This window comes from Homo sapiens, chromosome X (assembly GCF_000001405.40).
Source record: "Homo sapiens chromosome X, GRCh38.p14 Primary Assembly".
Classification (NCBI taxonomy): domain Eukaryota; kingdom Metazoa; phylum Chordata; class Mammalia; order Primates; family Hominidae; genus Homo; species Homo sapiens.
This window is the reverse complement of record NC_000023.11, coordinates 130,844,986-130,867,631: the sequence shown is the minus strand read 5'-3', so window position 1 is coordinate 130,867,631 and position 22,646 is coordinate 130,844,986. Positions and strand designations below refer to the sequence as shown.

Below are 22,646 nucleotides of genomic sequence, written 5' to 3'. Positions count from 1 at the left end.
ATGCTAATAGACTTCTATGATGAGGCCAGTCATGATGTTAACTAATTTGAGAATATTGTGTAATGAAATGTGTAACATTGGAAGATTTGCATAACTCAGTGAACCAATATTTGTCAAATGATCAATGAATAATGTTGTAAAATCATGCCTGGGGAAAAATCCATTTAAAGTACAAGACTGACCAGTGGTTTTAATATAACAAAGCCCCAAAAGTTCATTAATATAGATTCAGATTTCCCATTTCACTAAAGAAACTGCCACTAACTGCCACTGTTAAATTTTGATGTAGTATTAAAGAATAATATCTACAATTATCTGAAAAGACTATTCAAATGTTCTTCCATTTTCCAACTATATATTTACCTGAGCCTAGATTTTCTTCATATATTTTAACCAAAAACATATCACAAAGAATTGAATGCAGAAGTAAACATTAGAATCCACCTGCCTTCTAATATGCTGTCTTCCATAAAAAGTATTTGCAAAATTATAAAACAATGCCATTATTCTCATTGATTTTAATTTGTTTTAGAAAATAGTTATTTTTGTAAACATGTTATTTCTGTTGACATGTGTTTGATTTATTGTTGTTATATTTACATGAATAATTACTTTTACAAGTCATAGTTATAATTTATAATATAGTAAATATTAATAAATATAACCTACAAAAACCAAAGGCTCTTTGGGGTCCTCCATATTTTTCAAAATTATAAAGGGGTTCCAAAGCAAAGAGTTTCAGAACTGCTGTGGTAGACTACTAAAAAAAAAATGGGGTTAACAAGTGAAGAAACTTGTCTTACTGTTAAGTAGCCTAGAATTCTATTAAATATAAGAAAGCTGAGACAATGAAAAAGCAAAATATGGAAAAATATGACTAAGATCCAAATTGAGTGACATAGACAGTAGATGATAACCAAGTTTCTAAAAACATAGAATGTGGACAAAAGTTGTAAGGGATTTGTCGGAACGAGAGACTTGAGCATACATAGGATTTTGTAGAACAAAAAAGTGAACAGGATGCTTGCCAAGCTTTCCAAGCATGATGACCAGCATGAGCAGAGTTCTAGTGGCCAACATAAGCATCATGTGCTTTAGAAACAGTAAGGAAATCATCCCAGCTGGAGTAAATAGTTTGCACTGGTGAATAGCAAGAGATTAGCTGGATAAATAAATTAAAGCCAGATTATGGAGAGCTTTAAAAGTCAAGATTAGGGATTTAGATTTTATTGGCAATGGGAAACTATTAAATGTTCCTGATTCAGGATGATGACATGATGAAAGTGATGGAAATTAACCTAGAAGTAGTGTGAATGAGAGGTTGGAAATAGAAAGACTAGAAATCAATCAGGACAATGTTATCTGTATATGAAGTGGTGAGGAACTAGTTGCTGGAATGGAATGCAAGTAATGGATATGAGAGATATTTTAATGGTATAATGAATAGGACTTGATTGATTAGGAAAAGAGGATTGATATTGAGACTAGATGACTGAGAGAATGGTGATGCCATTGTTAGAAAATGAAAGAACAGGGAAACCCATTTTAAGTAGTTGATGATGACTAGGTTATTAACTTGTTTGTTGAAAGTGTGAGATTGCATAATAGAAATATGTATGCATAGGGAATCACTATATAGGGGTTTGAATGAGAAATATAAAATCGAGAGGCCACATATAGAAAGGTGATCATTGGATTTCAGGAAATGAATGAGTTTTTTGAGGAAATGAATTATATAAAGCAGGAGCCCAGGAGCCAAATCTTAGGATCTACGGCTATTAGGATATGATAGGAGGAGCCCCTGAAGAAGGCTGAAAAAACAATTGGAGACTATTAGAACAGAATCCTATCAGATTGCAGAAGCCAATGGAAGACATAGTTTCAAGAAGAAGATATAAATCAGCCATGTCAAATTCCACAGAGAATAGAAGATTTAATGTATAACGTAAGCTCTGTGAAAGCTCTCTTAAATGATCTCTGTATATTTTACTCAATGATGTTTCCTAAGTGTGTAGAATTGTACTTGGCACATGGTAGTGAATCAATAAATGAGTATAATTAGCTAGTGATGCTGAAAGTTTTGTGCAAAACTTTTAAATATAAGCATATTGAAGAAAAATAACTAATGAGCAACATCTTCAGATACAAACCTCTGTAAACATATTGATTCTCTCTATTTGCTTATCAGGCAGTATTATTGGAAGCCAGCACAGTGTTGTTGAAATGCACAGTGAAGATGGAGGTAGATCGTTTAGCCTTGCTGATTCACATATGAGGCAGCCAGAGGGAGGCAGATGATATGTCTGTTTGCATAATTCTACAGACCAAGACCCTGCTGGTAGCCTTACCTTCTAGTCTTTAGTTTGTGCTCTTCATCTGAATCGGATATATTCTTTTGCTGCGGATGTATGGTGCAAACAGTATTGGCCTCAAAATGAATAACTACTTTAGAATTTAAATAGTTATAATCACAGTCATTAAGAAATCTGATTTTTGTTTAAACTTATTTTGGTATTGGCTCATAAATTTTAGTTGCAAGTTTTTTCAGAAGACCAGTGTATTCGTTAATTTCAAAAAAAAAAAAAAAAAAATCTGTGTCCAATTTTTGTTGTTGTTTTTCAAGGCAGAGTCTTGCTTTGTCACCCAGGCTGGAGTGCAGTGGCATGATCTCGGCTCATTGCAACCTCTGCCTCCCGTGTTCAAGCAATTCTCGTGCCTCAGTCTCCCAAGTAGCTGGGATTATAGGCACACACCACCATGCCTGGATTTCTTTTGTATTTTAGTAGAAATGGGGTTTCACATGTTGGCCAGGCTGGTCTCAAACTCCTGGCCTCAAGTGATCCACCCACCTTGGCCTCCCAAAGTGCTGGGATTACAAGTGTGAGCTACCATGCCCAGCCAAAAGATTATGTCCAATTTAGTTGTTAAAGTAGATTTGTTTATTTCAGTTTTGGCATGAGTAGCCATAATGGATACAAGAGGAAAATAGGTGATTTTACTGGAGGAAACAGTATGGATTCCCTCATAAACTACTTACATAGCAATGACTATGTTTTGAGCTTGGACTTTGTATTAGTTATCAACTGCCCTGTAACAAATTACCCTCAAACTTAGCACATTAAAGCAGCAAGCATTATCTTACAGTTTTTGTGTGTCAGGAATCTGGAAATGGTTTAGCTGAATTCCTCTGCCTTAAGGTCTCTCGTGAGCTTGCAGTTAAGCTGCAACTGAGCCTGTGGTTGAATCCGAAGGCTTGACTGAACTGGGGAGAGGATCCACTTTCAAGCTCGGGTGGTTCTTGGCAGACCTCAGACCCTTGCCACACGGGCTTCTCCATAGGGCTAACCCATGAAATGTCAGTGGCTACCCCAGAGAGGGTGATTCAGGAAAGACTGCCCAAGACAGAAGCCAGAGTCATTTTATAATCTAATCTCAAAAATGATATCCCATATATATTAAACTACATATATGTAATCACATTTATGATTATAATTATATATAAATATATATACACTCACACCTATATGATTTTTAAAGACACATATTTACTAAAACACAGTCTGAGAAGAAACCGAAAAGCCAAATGAGAAAAAGAGGTTTACATGAAGAGATAATTAATCTTCAAGTGACTCTTACAACTACAAACCCACCCAGAAAGACAGAAGAAAATGTTTGACATTAACAACTCCACTTAAATTTCAATACTTTTATTCAATTTATGTAAGTTAATGTGAAATAAGATACTAACTACAGTTAAATGTAGCCCCTATATATGGGTTTTAGTGCATATTTGAAGACAGAAATAGAAAAAAGTAGACTAAACTGGTAAGAAATTGAATTTTAAAAACAGGTATTATAGATTACCTCATAGTTCATATTTCCTCTTACCTTTACTTCTATTACATTTTAGTTTAGTAACTGAAATTATAAGAATCCGCATTTTTGTAGAATGGTAATTTAGTAGGAAGGGGAACAATGCTGTCTTGCAGCAGATCTTTAAATTCAATTTTTAACTAAATTAATTTCATGAGGTCTAGGTTGTTCTATCTAAATCCAAAAATTATAGGTATTCATTTAGATTCATAAACCATATCTCATTTACTCAAAATAAAAGATATAACCCTGTCTTGTCTACAGAGAGTAAGAAAGGATTAAGGCAAGAGAGAAAAGTGTTTTATTCATCATAACAACACAAGATGCCTATTTGAAACTGAGGAAGGAGAAGATATGTATAATATTTAGAAGGAGTTTATGTGTGTATGTACATTTCAAAAGGGATACACTTCTGAAATAGTCATTTCTCATTTGGAAAGACAGACATCTGTGTGCTCAAAAAGGAAACTAATAAGTGAAAAAGGAAGAGTTTGGATTAGCTTATGTCTGAGGTCCCACCTAGCTTTAACATTCTGAGTCCATGTTTAGATTAGACATTGGAGGTATAAATCTTATTTTTGTTAAGGAGAATGAGAAAACATGCATAATTAAAACCTGTAGATCATCCCTAAACTTCATTTTAGCCTAAGCTTTATAAGAGGCAAACCAAATGTGTTTGTGTTTGTGGTGTGGGTGAGTTTTCATGGTATCTTGGCTTAGAGGTAATGGGAGAGGGTAGTGCTGTGTACCTTGCAATAGGAGGTATACCTTATTCAGTCTTTTGTGTCCTACCAGGAAATGTAGATAATTGCTTTACAGACATAAACCACTTTTGTATTCTCTGTAGCTCAGGAATTGGTCAGAGTAAGAAGGAAGCTGTGATTAGCCTTCCCTGTGCCCCTCAGTTATTCCTTTCAAATAGGCTTTTGTTCTCAAATTCTCTTATTCTTCTTAAGGTTAAACTAAGGTGGCTGCTCCCTATTTTCTCATCCACCACAGATTCTGTTTCATACTCATTCATTTATTTATCAAATACTTATTGAGTGCCTACTATGTGCTAAGTAAGTTTTAGGTGCTAGAAATACATCTGAGAACAAAAAACATCCCTTTCCTATTGCTTAGGTTCTAAAAGGGGGAGATAGGCAAATGTTACACACCCACCCACATACACCCACCCCTCTCACACACATACTCAGAGTCTTAAGTGATTTTATATAGCTGGAAGGTGATAAGTGATTATGTATGTATGTATGTATACATATATAGGCAATTAGTGATATGGAAGAAATAGGGCAGGTTTAGGAGAATTGAAAGCATTGGTGGGAAAAAAGGTTGCAATTTTAAATGGGATGCTCAGTGTAACCTCATTGAGAAGGGACATTTAAGCAATTATTTGGAGGAATTTGGAGGAAAGCGGCTATCTGGGGGAAGAGCATTCAAGCAGAGAAAAAGAACCAGCACAAAGACCTTCAGACGAGAGAGTGTCTGGATTGTTCAAGGAACTAGGGTTTAAGGAGCTAGTGTGACTAGAGCAGAGTGAATGAACAAGGGGAGTACTAGGAGATTAATTCACAAGAGTATAACAGAGGGAGGGAGCAGATCTTGTAGGCTCCTAAGTAAATACCTTGTAATTGCCATTGTAATTTACCTTGTAAATACCTTGGCTTTACTTTGAGTAAAATGAGGAGTCCTTGGAGGGTTTTGAGCAGAAGAGTGATATAATGTGGTTTTTAAAAGGATTATGCTGGCTACTGTCTTTTTTGTTGTTTAAACCACTTTATTGGTATAAACCACTTTACTGGTATATGATTGACATAAAAAAGCTATATGTATTTCATGTGTACAACTTGATAAGTTTGGAGATAAGTATACACCACAAAACCATCACCTTAATCTATGTCATTAACCTATCAATCACCTCCAAAACTGTCCTCCCACCCTCTTATTTATTATTATTTGTGTATATGACAAGAACACTTAACATAAGATCTACCCCCTTAGCAATTTTTAAAATACACCATACAGTATTGTTAACTTATAGGCACTATGCTGTACAATAGATGTAGGCCTTACTCATCTGGTGCGACCAAAACTTTGTACCCTTTGACTAATACCTTCCCATTTCACTCTCCTCCCAGGCCCTGGAAACCCTGGTATTCTACTTTCTGCTTCTATGAGTTTGACTACTTTATATTCATCATATAGTGCTATCATGTAGTATTTTTCCTTCTGTGTCTGGCTTATTTCATTATGTCACTTAGCTTGACATTCTCCAGGTTCATCCATGTTGCTGCAAATGCCGGGATTCCCTTCTTTTTAAGACTAGATAATTGTTCTAGGGTGTGGTTGGTTGTGTGTGTGTGTGTATGTACACCACCTTTTCTTTACCCATTCATCTATAAATGGACATTTAGATTGCTTGGCTATTAAGAATTATGCTGCAGTGAACATGGGAGTGTAGATATCTCTTCAAGATAATGATTTCAGATCCTTTGGATTTATACCCAGAAGTGAGATTGCTGGATCATATGGTAGTTATATTTTTAATTTTTTAAGAAACCTCCGTATTGTGTTTCAATATACATTTTCACTAACAGTGTACAAGAGTTGCATTTTTTCCACATCCTTGCCTACATTTATCTTTTGTTTTTATTGTTGTTGTTTTGATAAATGGTCACCCAAGCAGGTGTGAGGTGATACCTCATTGTGGTTTTGATTTGCATTTCTCTGATGATGAGTGATGTTGGGTACCTTTTCACATACCTCCTGGTCATTTTTATAGATGTCTGTTTAGGTACTTTGCTCACTTATTATTATTATTTTTTGCTATTGCATTGTAGGAGTTCCTTATTTATTTGTGATAATAACCTTTTATCAAATAGATGGCTTGTAAATATTTTCTTCCATTCTGTAGGTTGCCTTTTCATTTTGTTTCCTTCTCTGTGCAGAAGCTGTGGCTATCTTAAAAAGAGATTACAGGTGTATGAGCAAGGTGGAAGCAGGGAGACCAGATAGGAAGTTGCTTCAGTAATCTAAGCAAGAGATGGTGGTAGATGGAAGCAGGGTGGAAACTGTTCAATGGAAAGGAGTGGTTAGATTCAGATACATTATGAGGGTACAACAAACAGGATATGCTAATAGATTGGATATGGTGTGTGAAAGGGGGAAGTCAAGGATGAACCCAAGTTTTTTCCTTCTGAGGAAGGAGGTTACATTTACTGAGATGGGAAGGACTGTAGGTAGAGTAAGCTTGGCATGTAAGAGTTCAGTTTTAGACTTGATGGTTTGAGATGCTTACTAGACATCGAAGTGGAAATGTCAAGCAGTTAGGTGAGAAAACAAACCTGGAGCACAGAGGACAGGTCTGAACTAGAGCTATGCATTTAGGAGTGTTCAGCACATACATAGTATTTTAAATCCAAAGAAATCCGTGGGAGTGAAGACAGAGAAGAGATCTAAGAACTGAGCCCTGGATTAATCCAATGTTAAAAAGTTGGAGAGAAGCTGGGCACAGTGGCTCATGCCTGTAATCTCAGCATTTTGGGAGGCCAAGGCGGGTGGATCACCTGAGGTCAGGAGTTCGAGAGCAGCCTGGCCAACATGGCGAAACCCAGTCTCTACTAAAAATACAAAAATTAGGCCAGGTGTGGTGGCTTGCCCCTGTAATCCCAGCTACTCAGGAGGCTGACACAACAGAATCGCTTGATCCCAGGAGGCAGAGGTTGCAGTGAGCCGAGATCGTGCCACTGCACTCCAGCCTGGGTGACAGAGCGAGACTCCATCAAAAAAAAAAAAAATAGTTTCGGAGAAGACAAGGAACCGGCAAAGAAAACTGAGAAAGAATGGCCAGTGAGCAGGAGTAGGAGGAAAATCAAAAGAATGTGGTATCTTAAAATTAAGTAAATTGACCACTGACCACAGTCTCTTCTGTCCTCTCTATTGCCATTGCCTTATCCCTAGTTAAGCACCACATCATTACTTGTCTAAACTGCAATGGTGTCTTAATTGTCTTCTTGCCTCCCTTATTTCCTCTAATGCATCCCCCACCCTGTCAGACATTTATGTTTCAAACACAAGTTGGATTCTGTCACTCCCTTGCTCAAAACACTTAATCTATTTATAGTTTATACACACTCTGCTGCTTTTGTCTTCCATGGCTTTGCCTTTGCTTGTGTAGTCCATTGTGCCTGAAGTATACCCTCTACATTTCTCATCACCAGGTGAACTCCTACTTACTCTGCAAGACTCAATTCAGGTACTATCTCATTCAGGAAGTCTTCCTTGATTTTTCCTCTGGACTTCAGTTTGCCTTATGCATATTTTTATTTTTGCCTTAAACATTTTTAAAAATCATTTTATGTTTATCTGTTTATCCCATTTAGGATTTTTTTTGTTTTTTTGTTTTGTTTTGTTTTGTTTTTGTTTTTGAGACAGAGTCTTGCTCTATCACCCAGGCTGGAGTGCAATGGCACGATCTCAGCTTGCTGCAACCTCCGCCTCCCGGGTTCAAGCAATTCAAGCAATTCTCCTGTGTCAGCCTCCTGAGTAGCTTGGATTACAGGTGCACACCACCATACCTGGCTAATTTTTGTATTTTTAGTAGAGAACTGGGTTTCACCATGTTGGTCAGGCTGGTCTCAAACTGCTGACCTCATGATCCACCTTGGCCTCCCAACGTGCTGGGATTACAGGCGTGAGCCACCGTGCCCAGCCAGGCTGTTATTTCTTAAAGGACAGTGATCGTATCTTGCCCATCTTTAAATGTTTGGCACCTAACATAGGGTCTGACACATAGTAGGCAGTAAATAAGTGTTTAATGAATGAATGAATGAATAAATGAGGGGTCACTTTTTCTCCTTGCTCTGGGTATGTCAGTTTCAGTTTAGAGGGTTATAAATTTTTCTCTACAACTTTGAATTGTTTCCAATTCTTCAATTTAAAATTCTAATATAACTAGTTATGGGACAGAATAACTGATTTGCATCTCAGATGCAGGAGAAGCATGCAGAATAACAATATGGTGTGGGTTTGATAGCACTCAAATATTGTATCTCTCAGTGTAATCAATATACATCTGAGTTACTGTAATACAGCCAATACTCACAAGTTGAATTTGTTAGGTTACTGCATTTACCTCTCTAGGATACCAATACCATGTAAAATAAGTTCTTATGGGAAGACTCATGTTTGCTTGTATCTTTGGGGAGAAAGAAGATAGTGTCATCCTGGACCTTTAAAAAGGTATTTAATGCACATTTATCATAATCTAAAAGAATAAAGCTTGACTTTTTTTCCCGGTGTGCTTTATTTCATAGGTAGAAATGTAAAAATGCCCATGATTGGCCGGGCGCTGTGGCTCACATCTGTAATCTCAGCACTTTGGGAGGCGGAGGCGGGCGGATCACCTGAGGTCAGGAGTTCAAAACCAGCCTGGCCAAAGCATGGCGAATCCCCATCTCTACAGAAAATACAAAAATTAGCCAGGTGTGCTGGCATGCATCTGTAATCTCAGCTACTTGGGAGGCTGAGGCAGGAGAATCGCTTGAACCCGGGGAGGCAGAGGTTGCAGTGAGCCGAAATTGCGCCATTGCACTCCAGCCTGGGCGACAGAGCAAGACTCCGTCTAAAAAAAAAAAAAAAAAAAGGAAAAAGCCCATGATTAGGTATACCTGTCATCTAGCCAATCCAGCATTCTGTTTCTGAGAAGACTTTATTAGGAAATCATCATATGTCCCACTAATACCAACCTCAAATGCGTAGTAGTATTTCTGGGAGGAAAAACATTCTAATTTCTTTCAGTAGTCCCTATGGATCTATTGTCAGTGATTTTATCTAACATATTTTTAAATTTGTTCATTTGTAATTAAAAAAATTCTATATTTGAGACAAAAGAGTTTTCTAATTACATTTTGCTGTTTAAAGGAATACTTTTATTGAATTCAGCATTCTTTTTTACTTAATATTTTTGACATACATAAAACTATACATAATTAATATATATAACTTGATGAGTTTGGAGATAATTATATGCACCATGAAACCATCCTCTATCTATGTCATAAGTCTGTCCATTACCTCCAAAATTTCCTCCTGTTCTCTTATTTATTATTTGTGTGTATGTGGGGATAAGAGCTTAACATAAGATCTACCCTCTTAGGAATATTTAAAGCATACAATGAGTATTGTTAACTGTAGGTGCTATGTTGTACAGTAGATCTCTAGGACTTGTATAAATGAAACTTTATACCCTTTGACTAATACTTCTCCGTTTCACTTTCCTCACAGCCCTTAGAACCCTTGGCATTCCATCCTCTGCTTCTGTGAGTTTGACTACTTTAGAGATGACTTTAAACAAATGCATACACCTTTGTAGTTAACACCATAATGAAAACATAAACTATTTTCATCTCACCAGAAAGTTTCTCTATATGACTGTTTCCAGTCAATCTCCAGTCTGCATAGGCAACCACTCTTTTGACTTCTATCACTATAAATTAGTTGTCTGTTACTAAGTTTCAAATACATGGGATCATACACTCTATGCTTTCTGGTCTCTGACTTTTTTCCCTTAGCATTTTTATTTTTTAGATTAACCCATGTTGTTGAGCGTTATCAGTAGTATGTTCATTTTTATTTTTGAGTAATGTGCCATTATATGAATTAACTACAGTTGGCTTATCCATTTACCAGTTAATACACATTTGTGCTTTTTCCAATTTTTCTCTGTATTATGAATAAGTCTGCTATGAACATATAAGCCCTTATTGCTATATATTCCACTCTACGCACTGCTTTGCCCCATCTCACAAATTTAGATATAGCCTGTTGTCATGTTAATTCAGCTGAGTACTTTTACATATCCTGTGGGGTTTCTTCTTTGACCCAAATATTATTTATATTTTTTAGATACTTCTTTGTTATTGACTTATTATTTAATTCCATTGTGCCAAAGAAGATGTTCTATATGATTTAAATAGTTTCAAATTTACTGTGACTTGTTTTATGGACTTGAATAGAGTCTATCATGAAGAATGTTCCAGGGACTGTAACCTTAGTTCCTTTTGGAAATAAGAGTTCCTTAGTTTGTTCCAAAAGATATATAAGAATATATATAGACGTTGAAATTATATATTCAACGTTGGAACCACTAAGTTCCAAAAGAACTTAGTTCCTTTTGGACCAGTAGAGCCTAAGGTCATAGTGACAGAAAGCACAAAATTTGCTTGTGAATCACTAGGAGTAATAGTGAATCAAGCCACTCCCATTTTTACCTCTAATACTTATTACAGAATCCATGAATCCTGGCTGTTGGAGAAATAACACCATATGTTGGACATTATTTTAGAGCATCCTGAAAGACATTACCTCTGGAAGACATTGTCACCTACCTGGTACTGTAGCTCAATCTTCAAAAAGCCATTCCACCATTGTAGTAAACCCGCTTCTTCAGCATGATGGGAAACATGGCAAGACTAGTGAATTCCACGAGCAAAGGCTCATTACCATTCTTCATTTGCTGTGAAATGACTTTCTTGATCAAAAATGGTGCTACGTGTAATACCATCATGGTGGATAAGGCATTCTGTACTTTTTTAAATGATACTGACAAACTACTTCTAGAGTAGCTGAGACATTTTACATTCCCACCAGTAATATAAATGATAGTTTCTCAGCATTCTTGGCAGGATATGGTGGTGTCACTGTTTTTACTTTAGTACTGTGATAGGTGAGCGTGATATCTCATTGTGATCTTAATTTGCATTTCCCTGAGGGCTAGTGATGTTGAGTATCTTTTCATCTGTTTATGTGCCATCTGTATATCATCCTTATGAAATATCTCTTTATGTCCTTTGACCTTTCTTTCTAATTGGTTATATTTTTACTGTTCAGTTCTGAGAGCTTTTTATATAATCTAGGTATATGAGTTTTTTGGTCAGATATGTGCTTTACAAATATATTTTTGCCAATCTGTGGCTTGTCTTTTCATCTACTTAATAGTCTCTGACAGAGCAAAAGTTTAAAACTTTGATGAATAATAATGTATTGTTTTTTTTCTTTTATGGATTGTACTTTGGTGTCATGTCTAGAGCAAGCCCTAGATCCCAAAGATTTTTCTTTCTTTGATTAGGCACATACATTTCAGAATAAGCTTGTCTAGCATATACATTTTAGAATAAGCTTGTCTCTATCTGAAAAAAAATCTTGCTGGGATTTTGATGGATATTGCATTTAACCAATACGTCATTTTGAGGGAGAACTGCCATCTTTCCTATGTTCTGTCTTCCAATCCTTGAGTGCAGTATGTGTCTCCGTTTATTGATGTCTTCTTTTATTTTTCATCGTTATTGTAGTTTTCAACATATAAATTATGTACACATTTCGTTAGATTTATACCTAAGTATTTATACCGAAGATTTATACTTAAGTACCTAAGATTTATACCTACATATTTCTCTTTTTTGAACAATTGTAAATGGTATGTTATTTTTAATTTCGGTGTCCACATATTCATTGCTAATATATAGAAATATAATTGATTTTTGTAGTTGGTATTAATTATAGCCTCTCACCTTGCTGAATTCCAAATTAGTTCTAGGAGATTTTTTACATAGACCCTCATGTCACCTGCAAATAGAGTGAACTTTATTTCTTCCTTTCCAATTTGTATGCCTTTTGTTTCCTTTTCTTGTCTTAGTGCACTGGCTAGAACTCCCAGTACTGTATTGAATAAGAATGGTGACAGGATATGTCTTTGCCTTATTACCAATAATAGGAAAGAGTATTCAGTCTTTCACCAAGATGTTAGCTATAGATTTTTTTTGTAGATGCTTTTAACCAAGTTGAGGAAGTTCCCCCTCTATTCATAAGTTTTCCGAGACATTTTATTGTGAATCACTGCTGAATTTTTAAATGCCTTTCTGTATCAATTAATATAATGCAATTTTTCTTTATTCTGCTAATGTGGTGAATTCCATTGATTGATTTTTTGAATATTGATCCAGCCTTGCATCCCTGTAATAAGCCTCAATTGGACATGATGTATGATTATTCTTATATATCTGCTATCATTCTAATTTTTTTTTTCTTATAGGTAAATGTGTTGTTTCTCTCTTGCTGCTCTCAATATTTTTTCACTGTCTTTAGTTTTCAGTAGTTTAATTATTTGCATTGGTGCAGATTTGTGTGTGTGTGTCCTATTTGGGGTTAGTTCAGCTTTTGGATTCTGTAGGTTTATGTCTTTGGTAAAATTTCTGAACTTTTTACCCATTATTTCTTTGAATACCCATTCTTCTCCTCTTGTTCTGAGAATTCAGTCATACAAACGTTAGATCTGTTGTTATTGTGCTACACGTCCTTGAGGCTCTGTTTACTATTTTTCACTCTATTTTCTCTTTATTGTTCATATTAGGTAATTTCTATTGTTCTATCTTCAAGTCCACTGATTCTTTCCTCTGTCATCTGTCTGTATTCTACTATTGAGTCCATCCAGGATTTTTAAATTTTTGTTTATTGTATTTTTAGTGTTAATTTTTTCATTTGGTTTTTCTTTACATCTTTTATTTTTACTGAAACTTTCTATTTTTAAATTTAAGTATGTTCATAGTTGCTCATTAAAGCATTTTTGTAACAGCTGGCCTAAAATACTTGTCAGATAATTTCAACGTCTGTGTCATCTTGGTGTTTGTGTCCTCTGTTAAATTGATATTTCCCTGGTTTTTGATATAAGTGATTTTTATTTAATTCTTGACATTTTGGGTATTATAAGACTCTGGATCTTATTTAAATCTTCTGTTTTACTTGGTTTCTTCTGACATCATGCTGGCAGGGGAAGTGGTCATTACCTTATTACTGCCATGTGGAAGTAGAAATACAGACTCTCCACTCAGCCTCCATTGAAACTCTAGGAAATGGGGGTGGGGGAACTTCATTACTGCTTGTTGGAAGTGGAAGTTGAAGCTCCCCTTTAGGCCTTTGCTGACATCACCCTGGTTGATAGAGAGGAGCACTTGATTCCTATGACATTGCTGATTGGGGATTTAAAAAAACCCAGCTCTCTACTTGGCCTTCTTTGATACACCACCCCCGTAGGTTGGTTGGGACACCTCATTAGATCCTGGAGAAGGTGGAAGTCCGGTTTCCTCACTCAGTGCTTGCTCATAGGGATGAGGTTAGGGGTGCAGTTTCTTGTGTTGTTTGGCTATTGTTTAAGTTTTCTGTCTTGCTGTACTCCCCCTTCTTGGTCCTTTGACTAGAGAAAGCTGGCTTTCTTTCTTTTTTTTTTTTTTTTTTTTTTTGAGACGGAGTCTCGCTCTGTCACCCAGGCTGGAGTGCAGTGGCGCGATCTCGGCTCACTGCAACCTCTGCCTCCCGGGTTCACGCCATTCTCCTGCCTCAGCCTCCCGAGTAGCTGGGACTACAGGCGCCCGCCACTACGCCCGGCTAACTTTTTGTATTTTTAGTAGAGACGGGGTTTCACCTTGGTCTCATCTCCTGACCTCGTGATCCGCCCGCCTCGGCCTCCCAAAGTGCTGGGATTACAGGCGTGAGCCACCGCGCCCGGCCAAAAGCTGGCTTTCTTGAGGCTTTTTTTTTCCCTCTGCCCATTGGCATTTCTAGGTTGCTGGTTTTACCAATACCTGGTCTGGGATATATATAGTAAAAAAAAAATACCCAGGGAATTCACCACTTTGTCATTCCCTGGGTCTCAAAGTCCCTAGTAAGTCTACTTTTTTTCTCCACCTTTGAAAATGTTCTTATGTTTGTCTTATATATAATGTCCAAGTTTTTAGCTGTACTTAATGGGAGAAATAGAGAGATGTGCAACTATGCTGTCTTGTCTTGAAACTAGAGACTCAGATATATTTTTTTTGTTGTAATTCACCACTTTAAATAGGGAGTTGTCCTATTATGATCTCCCGTACATAATGTTCATAATGGTCATTGAAATGGTATATTTCAATTATGTCCCTTCTCAGCCATTTTTCATCCCTTCAATCATTTAGTTGACGTTAGTAGATGATCTTCAGCTTGATTATGACATCCTTGAATATCTTGATGGTATTTTTCAAATGTCTCAACTCCATGACTGTTTTTACTTCCAACTCAGGACACAGTAATTTTAGTGACCTCTTCCTGGGTTTCCTTTGAATACAAAGAAAAATCAAGACAAGTCTTCATTTCATTTAAAGCCATGCTCAAATTTCACCTCTTCAGAATGGCCTTTATGACCATTCTGGATATGTTTGCCCTGCTTTATTTTCTTTATATCACTTATCACTATGTGATATTTTATTTTTCATATGACTAATGATTCTCTATTTTGTATCTATGGATTTGTTCACTGTCTCTCTCCTTGGAAAGTGTCAGAGCTCTATAAGTGCATGGGCTGTGTTTTGTTCACTTTTGTATTCCCATTGCCTAGAAAAGTCATTGGCATATAGTAGGCTCTAAATAAATATTTTGGCCAATTGAATGAATAAATACGTCACAAGAGATTTGGGTGGAAGAGAGAAGAAAGAATAGAAAATTCTGGGTACTTAGTGTAAAGAATTTTAACCAACTCATATGCTACTAGACAATAACATTAGATTAGATATATACACCAAACTTAGGCCAAAATGTGTGAAAGGAAGAAAATAACTTCTGTTTTCTTTCTTTGCTTCTTCTTTTTTTTCTCATCTAAGTCATATTTCTTGTCCTAGGATAGGGGCAAGGTCTTTCTGAAAACAGCAGTTGTAGCCCTCTGATGAGAAGGTGGTAAATTGAAAATTGGAAAAGTCTTGACTAGAAATTTCCACATTTTGCTTAGATGATAGAAGCAAATGACAGTTTGGCCAGCTGCCCCAGGTGCATTAAAATTCATGTGGCCCCTGGACTAACTGGATCGATTCCAAATGTAGATCTTCCAAATGAAACTGAAGACATTGAATTGAATCCAGATTTTACAGGGGAATAGCTAAAATGAATAGAAGAAAGCAGTGATGTCATACTGTGTGGTCAGAACCCTGCCGTATTATCCTCCTCAGTATGACTTTTGTTGTAGCTATCTGTGGAGCCACACATTGACTGGGCTGTCTACATTTGTTAGAACAGAGAAAAGGATGCTACCTTTTCCCTAAGATGTCATTGTATCTTGGAGGAAGACTAGAAAGGGATAAGATGTTTCTCATTTCATCTATTAGTTCGATATCTCTCTAAGCAACTCAGGTATCAGGCACCATAGATTGAAAAAAGAAAGCTGTTTTATAAAAATACATCCATTTACTTAAAGTATAATAAAAAAAAAAGGAAAAAAAAGAAAAAAAAAATACATCCATTTATCCCAGCCTGGGCAACGTGGTGAAACCTCATCTCTACAAAAAATACAAAAATTAGCCAGGCATGGTGACATCTGCCTGTAGTCCCAGCTACTTGGGAGGCTGAGGCAGGAGAATCACTTGAACCCAAAAAATATATATCCATTTATAAGGCATATTCAAAAAAGGAATAGTATATAGTATATCATAATAAAAATTAGGGCTAGGCTAAAACAAAAATGGAATTTAAGTTCACCTTAATGTCTTTTTAAATGTAATAGCTTTCTGGGGAAATACAATTCTGGTTTGAGAATATTAGTCATGTACAACACTTGTCCTGGATAACTGATATCACCTGAGCCATAAAATTACAGAGCCACCTGGCCCTTTCCAGAAAGATTTCCTTCAGAAATTATATTGTTTCTTGAACAGGCAAAGCTTTTACTCAAATGAGCTGTCTCCAATAAGCTCTCCATCAAATTATCTGCCATTGGTGCAGTTGTTCTTAATTTCACTTAAGTGCCTGCTGGCTGACTTTGAGTGCAAAAAGACAAAACATATCTTATTGGATGGAATTTAAGTTTGGGGGGAAAAAGGAAAGCAGCTGCTGCCTTCTTGATCTCCCTGCTCTCTTCCCACTAGTAGTGGAATAGGGGGCAGAGAAAATAGCCTTTGTTTTTAACTTGATTTACCTACTTTGGAGACTTCCTTACTTGCAGCATGTGAATGTAAACATATAAAACGTGTTCGTTGAAAGAAAAATTTCCTGGCAAAGCAAAATTCAGTCTGATGATTTGCTCCCACAAAATTTTATTTCATATGGTTGAGTAGAATTTTGCCTTTATTTGTTCTGCTGATTCAAGGAGGATGCTAACTTAATGGGTGTACTTTTTTGCTTTGTTTTTATTCTAATATCACCATTTGTAATTGTGGGTAGTAAATAATAGAATGAATAATGGAGAAATTTGATGGCTTTTCTTATAACCCTGTACATATAAGAAAAAAATTCTATAAAATATGGAAAGTACTTTATACCTTTTTGCTGAATTTCAGTGAACATGATTAATAATAACTTCACCCATCCATCCATAAATTCATTATTTATTTATTCAATGTTTATTTGAATGTCTGTTGCCCCAGGCACTGATGATACACTCATAAAAAAGATACAGAAGTGGACTTTCTATTCCAATGGGCCCTTGATGGTGTCCTGCTGCTTAAAGCCCCCCTTCCCCTCAAGTGCATTCCCATTTTATTTATTTTGTTTTCCCCAAAAAGATGGTGAGCTCTTCTATGGTAGAAATCCTGTCATGTGCTTTCTATGATTCTAGATATTCAACATGTTGGACTGAATTGAATAAAGGCTATTGAAGATGTAGGTGAGGAAAATTTCACAGTCATAGGATATTAGATCTAGAGGGAATTGTTAAAGATGATTTAGCCCATAGATTTTCAAACTGTGTTCACAGGATCCATGAAGGCATCTGTATAGATGCATGTAAGACTGGTTCAGGGAGAAGGAGAGGCCCAGGAGAAGGCTTATGAGCCTGTTATGACCTTCCCTGTGCTTCAAGCATAAGATTTCTACTTTCAGCTCTTTTATGTGTAGGATATTCCTGTAAGTTGTCTTTTGAATAAAGGGTTGGCTGCTAAAAAAAAGTTGGAATCCGCTGACAGGTCCAACATCTCTATCATAAGATAGGCCTAAAAAGGTTGAGTGATTTGTTCAAGGTCATACATATAGTTAATAATGCTCTTAGAACTAAAACCTAAATCTTCTAATTTCCAATCTGGGGTTCTTTCCACGACATTCTGCTGTTTCCTGCTTCACAACTGTTCCATGACCAGCCCAATGCTTGACACAGAGAGCATAACTGAAAGAAAGAATGTTAAAATCCACTTTGACAACACTTCTTCTCTTCTTGGACATAATTCAATATCTCGGCACTTAGCAAAGTGACTGTCACACAGTAGGTGCTTAATGGTGATGGTTGTATGGTGGTGGTTATTCTTGATTGATTGTTTATCTTTCCAGATTAAAGCACTCTAATCCTTTTATTCTATTCTCATAGTCTCCCCTCCACCCCACCATCCCTTCAAACATCTTTCTTGTCTTTAGTCTCTGACTACAGTCCTTGGGATGGACTGAGTGTGAAAACTGGAACATATATAGGTAGTTCTAACTTACAGCTTAACTAACTTAACTAGCTAGCTTAAGCTGCCACTTAAATCCCTTTACCTTGTATCTTTAATTATGTAACAACAGTTGTTTATTGTTAAGATTAAGAAAATAAATAACTGTGAAATATAAGTTGTACTAAAAATGGTTTTAAAAGTTCAGTTGGGTTTTTTGTTTGTTTGACTGATGGCTTTAAAAGTATAATTGAGCCATTAGTTGATTTATCCTTCTCACTGCTTCTCTACAGATGCGAGTTTCATTTTAACTAGTGCTTTCAGCTTCTTGCTATGGTTTCTTTGGGCTTAGTTGGTTTCCTTTTCCTTTTCCTCACCTGTTGCCTACTCACTGTTTTGCAGTTGGACATCTTCTCCAGCCCAGGTTACCTAATATTACTGACAAAGATTTTCATCTTTCCTCAAGGAGAGATCATTTAGGATTGCAGTTTTTTTTTGGTTTTTTTTTGTTTGTTTTGTTTTGCTTTGTTTTGTTTTTGACAGTCTCACTCTGTCGCCCAGGCTGGAGTACAGTGGCACAATCTTGGTTCACTGGGATTGCAGTTTTTTACATCTTGCAGACACATCTTCTAGGACCAATTTGGCCAGAATGTTCTCTCTGGTGCAAATATAAGATTGCTTTAGGAAGGGTCTGCTGCCATCAGCCACTGCTGCTACTGCTGTTGCCAGTGCAATGGGAGGGAGAAAATTGGCTTTGTGGCCAGATAGAATTAGATTTTGTTTGTTTTTCTGGTTTATTTTTGCTTTGGGTTGATTTTACTTCTGTCTTATTAGCACCTTATTAATAGAGAAAAGTATTACAAAGAGAGTTTAGAACTCAAAGGTAGAAATCCATTCTCCATTTGGTAAAAAAATAGGACCTCCACTTTTTAAAAGTTCATGCTAGATTTACAATATTTGATTTAAGGGTACTTGCACAGTTTTCTTTTACTCTCTGCTTTTTTTTTCCCTCATAGATGACTTTTTCTTGAGTAGTGTATTTATTGTGGTGTAGATTTTGGCATTATGTACTGAGAATCTGTAATTCAATCTTTTCAGGTGTTCATCTTTATTTAATGACATTGATAAATTGAACGATGGCTCTTTATATGCATAAGATCTTCTAACTATATGTAATCATATTTATTGTACAGTTATTTTTAAAACCTAGGGGTTTGTGCAGTGAGCCGAGATCGCGCCACTGCACTCCAGCCTGGGCGACAGAGCGAGACTCCATCTCAAAACAAAAACAAAAACAAAAACAACAACAAAAAAACCCTAGAGGTTTGGAGAAACCAAGACCAGTTTCATCATTTTCCAGATAGTAGATGACCAGGCTATTTTTAGAGAGCTTTGAAACTGGGGTTATTAGATAATTTGTGGTCATGAGACTGTAACTAAAACTTGTCTGAAGTTATTAGACTGAAAGCTGATCTCCTAGCCTAGAATAATACTGGAACTAGGATTTACATACTTAGAGTGACTTTTATCTTTAACACAATAGAATCATTGAACATTATATAATGTACAACAATAGTTTGTATCATGGTCAGTCAACAAACATTTATTGACTTTAATCATTCACCGTAGGAGTGCAGATATTAGTTTCACAACAGCTGGTTTAAATTTGTTCTGTTACTGAGTGAAAGTTTTATACTGTTGATGTACATAGATTCTTCTTTATGATATGTGTCTGGGTTAGGCAGAAGAATAGACAACTGTCTAGGTTTTAGTCCTGATTTTTCTATGGATCCTTTGTCATCTGGCCTTTTTTCCTTAGAGGTCACCTAATAGATACCACTCTGCTAATATAGCAGCTTAATTGTTTTTTATAATTGGATTCAAGGCAACATCAATCACAAGTGAAATTAATAACTAGGTGCTCTATGCAGTAGAATAATATATTTTTACAAACTTGTAACATTTTTCTAGAAATATAATGTACAGATGGATGCCACTAGTAGCACAACTAGAAATTATGCTTATATATTAATATGAATAGACAACCACAGACAGTCTCAGGAGTTCCTTAAAGCAATCCTATTTATATTTATTTATTCATAGGTCTTAAGTATATCTGACCAATGCTTAAATATAGTGTAAAAAAAAAAAACACTTCATCCTCCATTAAACTAGACCTCAATGCTTACCTCAGGCTGAACTCACCCCAGAGATTCATCTTTAACACAAACGTGAAAACACATTTCGTTACAAATATAAATAATACAATTCAACCTTTTCAGGAGATTTCTGGGGACTTCCTACTTCTCATTTATTACAGCCTCCTGAATTTGGCCTTAGGGCTTTAAGATGTTTCAAGAATGTTTCCCCATTCACTTTTGTGGGAAAAACTCTACTTCCTCAATAGGGACTGGTTGGACATAGTTTCAGCTTTCTGCTTATGAAGTATGGATTTTTTCTCTCTGCCTATTTCCCACAGTACAGGCATTCTAACTTTTAAGGAGACAGTATGCTAAAATTCAGATTTATAAAAGAAAAATCAAAAGCAAGTCCACATGAAGGTTGATGGTACATGGATACCTCACTTTGTACCGAAAATGTGCTTCTGATAAACTGAACATATAAATTCCATATTTGTAGAAACAAATCTTACTTGCATGTACAATGTTAGCTTAGCATTGTAAAAGATTGCCGGCTGGGCGCAGTGGCTCATGCCTGTAATCCCAGCACTTTGGGAGGCTGATGCGAGCAGATCACCTGAGGTCAGGAGTTCGAGACCAGCCTGATCAACATGGAAAAACCCCGTCTCTACTAAAAATACAAAATTAGGCGGGCGTGGTGGCACATGCCTGTAATCCCAGCTACTCAGGAGGCAGAGGCAGGAGAATCGCTTGAATCCGGGAGGCAGAGGTTGCGGTGAGCCGAGATCATGCCATTGCACTCCAGCCTGGGCAACAAGAAGGAAACTTCGTCTCAAAAAAAAAAAAAAAAATTGCCACATGGAGTGCTTCTGTAATACACATAAGCACTCTTGCTTTTCTGGTTTGTGGATTGGATAAGGAAACAGTGGATTTTCTTAAAGTAGGGCACACCTATAGTCTGTATTCCCATATAAAGTTTTTAATTTCAAAGACTGACCCCTTTGTTAGACCCTGATTTCTCAACCTGATCTTCCGTAGTCTCTTGTGGTTTCTTCCTACTTCATTAGTCTAGTGACTCAGGTGAGCTTTCCTGACCCCTGATCTCTGCCTGGCTATCATATGTTATACTATATGAAAATATAATGATATATTTGTGTATTTATAAGTGAGATATAGCAGGAATTTGTATAGGAGCCCTACAAATATATGTGTTTTTCTATCAAAGTTTTATGATATTCAAGACCAGCAAGCACAATGCACGTTGTGAAAGTTTTCTTTTTTTCTGTACATTACTACTTATTTTAAATATTCTTGTTTTGCTTCTTAACCTTTTACATGATATACTAACTCTATCCATTACCGAAGCATAACCACTTCTGAAGTGAAATGACATCTATCTAACCATGTTAAAAATAGTATTGGTTGGCCAGGTGCAGTGGCTCATGCCTGTAATCCCAGCACTTTGGGAGGCCAAGGTGGGCAGATTGCCTAAGGTCGGGAGTTCGAGACCAGCCTGACCAACATGGAGAAACCCTGTCTCTACTAAAAATACAAAATTAGCCGGGTGTGGTGGCACATGCCTGTAATCCCAGCTACTCAGGAGGCTGAGGCAGGAGAATTGCTTGAGCCCAGGAGGCAGAGGTTGCGGTGAGCCAAGATCACGCCATTGCACTCCAGCCTGGGCAACAGGAGTGAAACTCTGTCTCGAAAAACAAACCAACAAACAAACAAACAAAACTATTGGATTTGTTTACAATAGGAAGAATACACTCTTCTTTGCACTGAAAGAGCTTAACCCATCTTCAATGTTGGCAAGGATAATGGTTCTTCTGATTTGTTTTTAAAAGGGTATGTACTAGTAATCTCATTTTAGCCTTTGATTTTCTTTCTTACTACCCTGTCCTTTGGCTTCATTTGCCTCTTTATGGGAAAGAATGCATCTGAGGCTTTCTTTGCTTCTACTCTTACCATGATATGTAGACTAGTTTATGGAAAAATACATTGGCTGCCTGCTGTGCATTTAAATTCCCCACTTCCCTGCTGCATTTGTGTGCAGCAACTGAAAGACAAATAGATGCATGCAGGGCCATTTTTGTCAGTGAAAGTTTTTGGACATATGCATTACCAAGCACACATATCATTAAATATGAGTTTAATATCTGGAAGCAAAAGTGATAGTGCATCAACTTTGTCCACAGAGGAG

The 22,646-nt window shown here is 36.6% G+C and overlaps 1 protein-coding gene across 17 annotated transcripts in view, besides 1 other annotated feature; it reads left to right on the top strand.

The window, feature by feature from the left end:
• Window positions 1-22,646, top strand: part of ENOX2 (ecto-NOX disulfide-thiol exchanger 2) — a 280,885-nt gene that overhangs the window by 35,578 nt on the left and 222,661 nt on the right. The gene's annotated exons all lie outside the window — the stretch shown is intronic.
• Window positions 18,638-18,747: an enhancer, noted in NCBI's record as "active region_29945". NCBI's record gives its function as "activates an Ori minimal core promoter by ATAC-STARR-seq in GM12878 lymphoblastoid cells {active_cell/tissue: GM12878}" and the evidence as "EXISTENCE:reporter gene assay evidence [ECO:0000049][PMID:35858748]".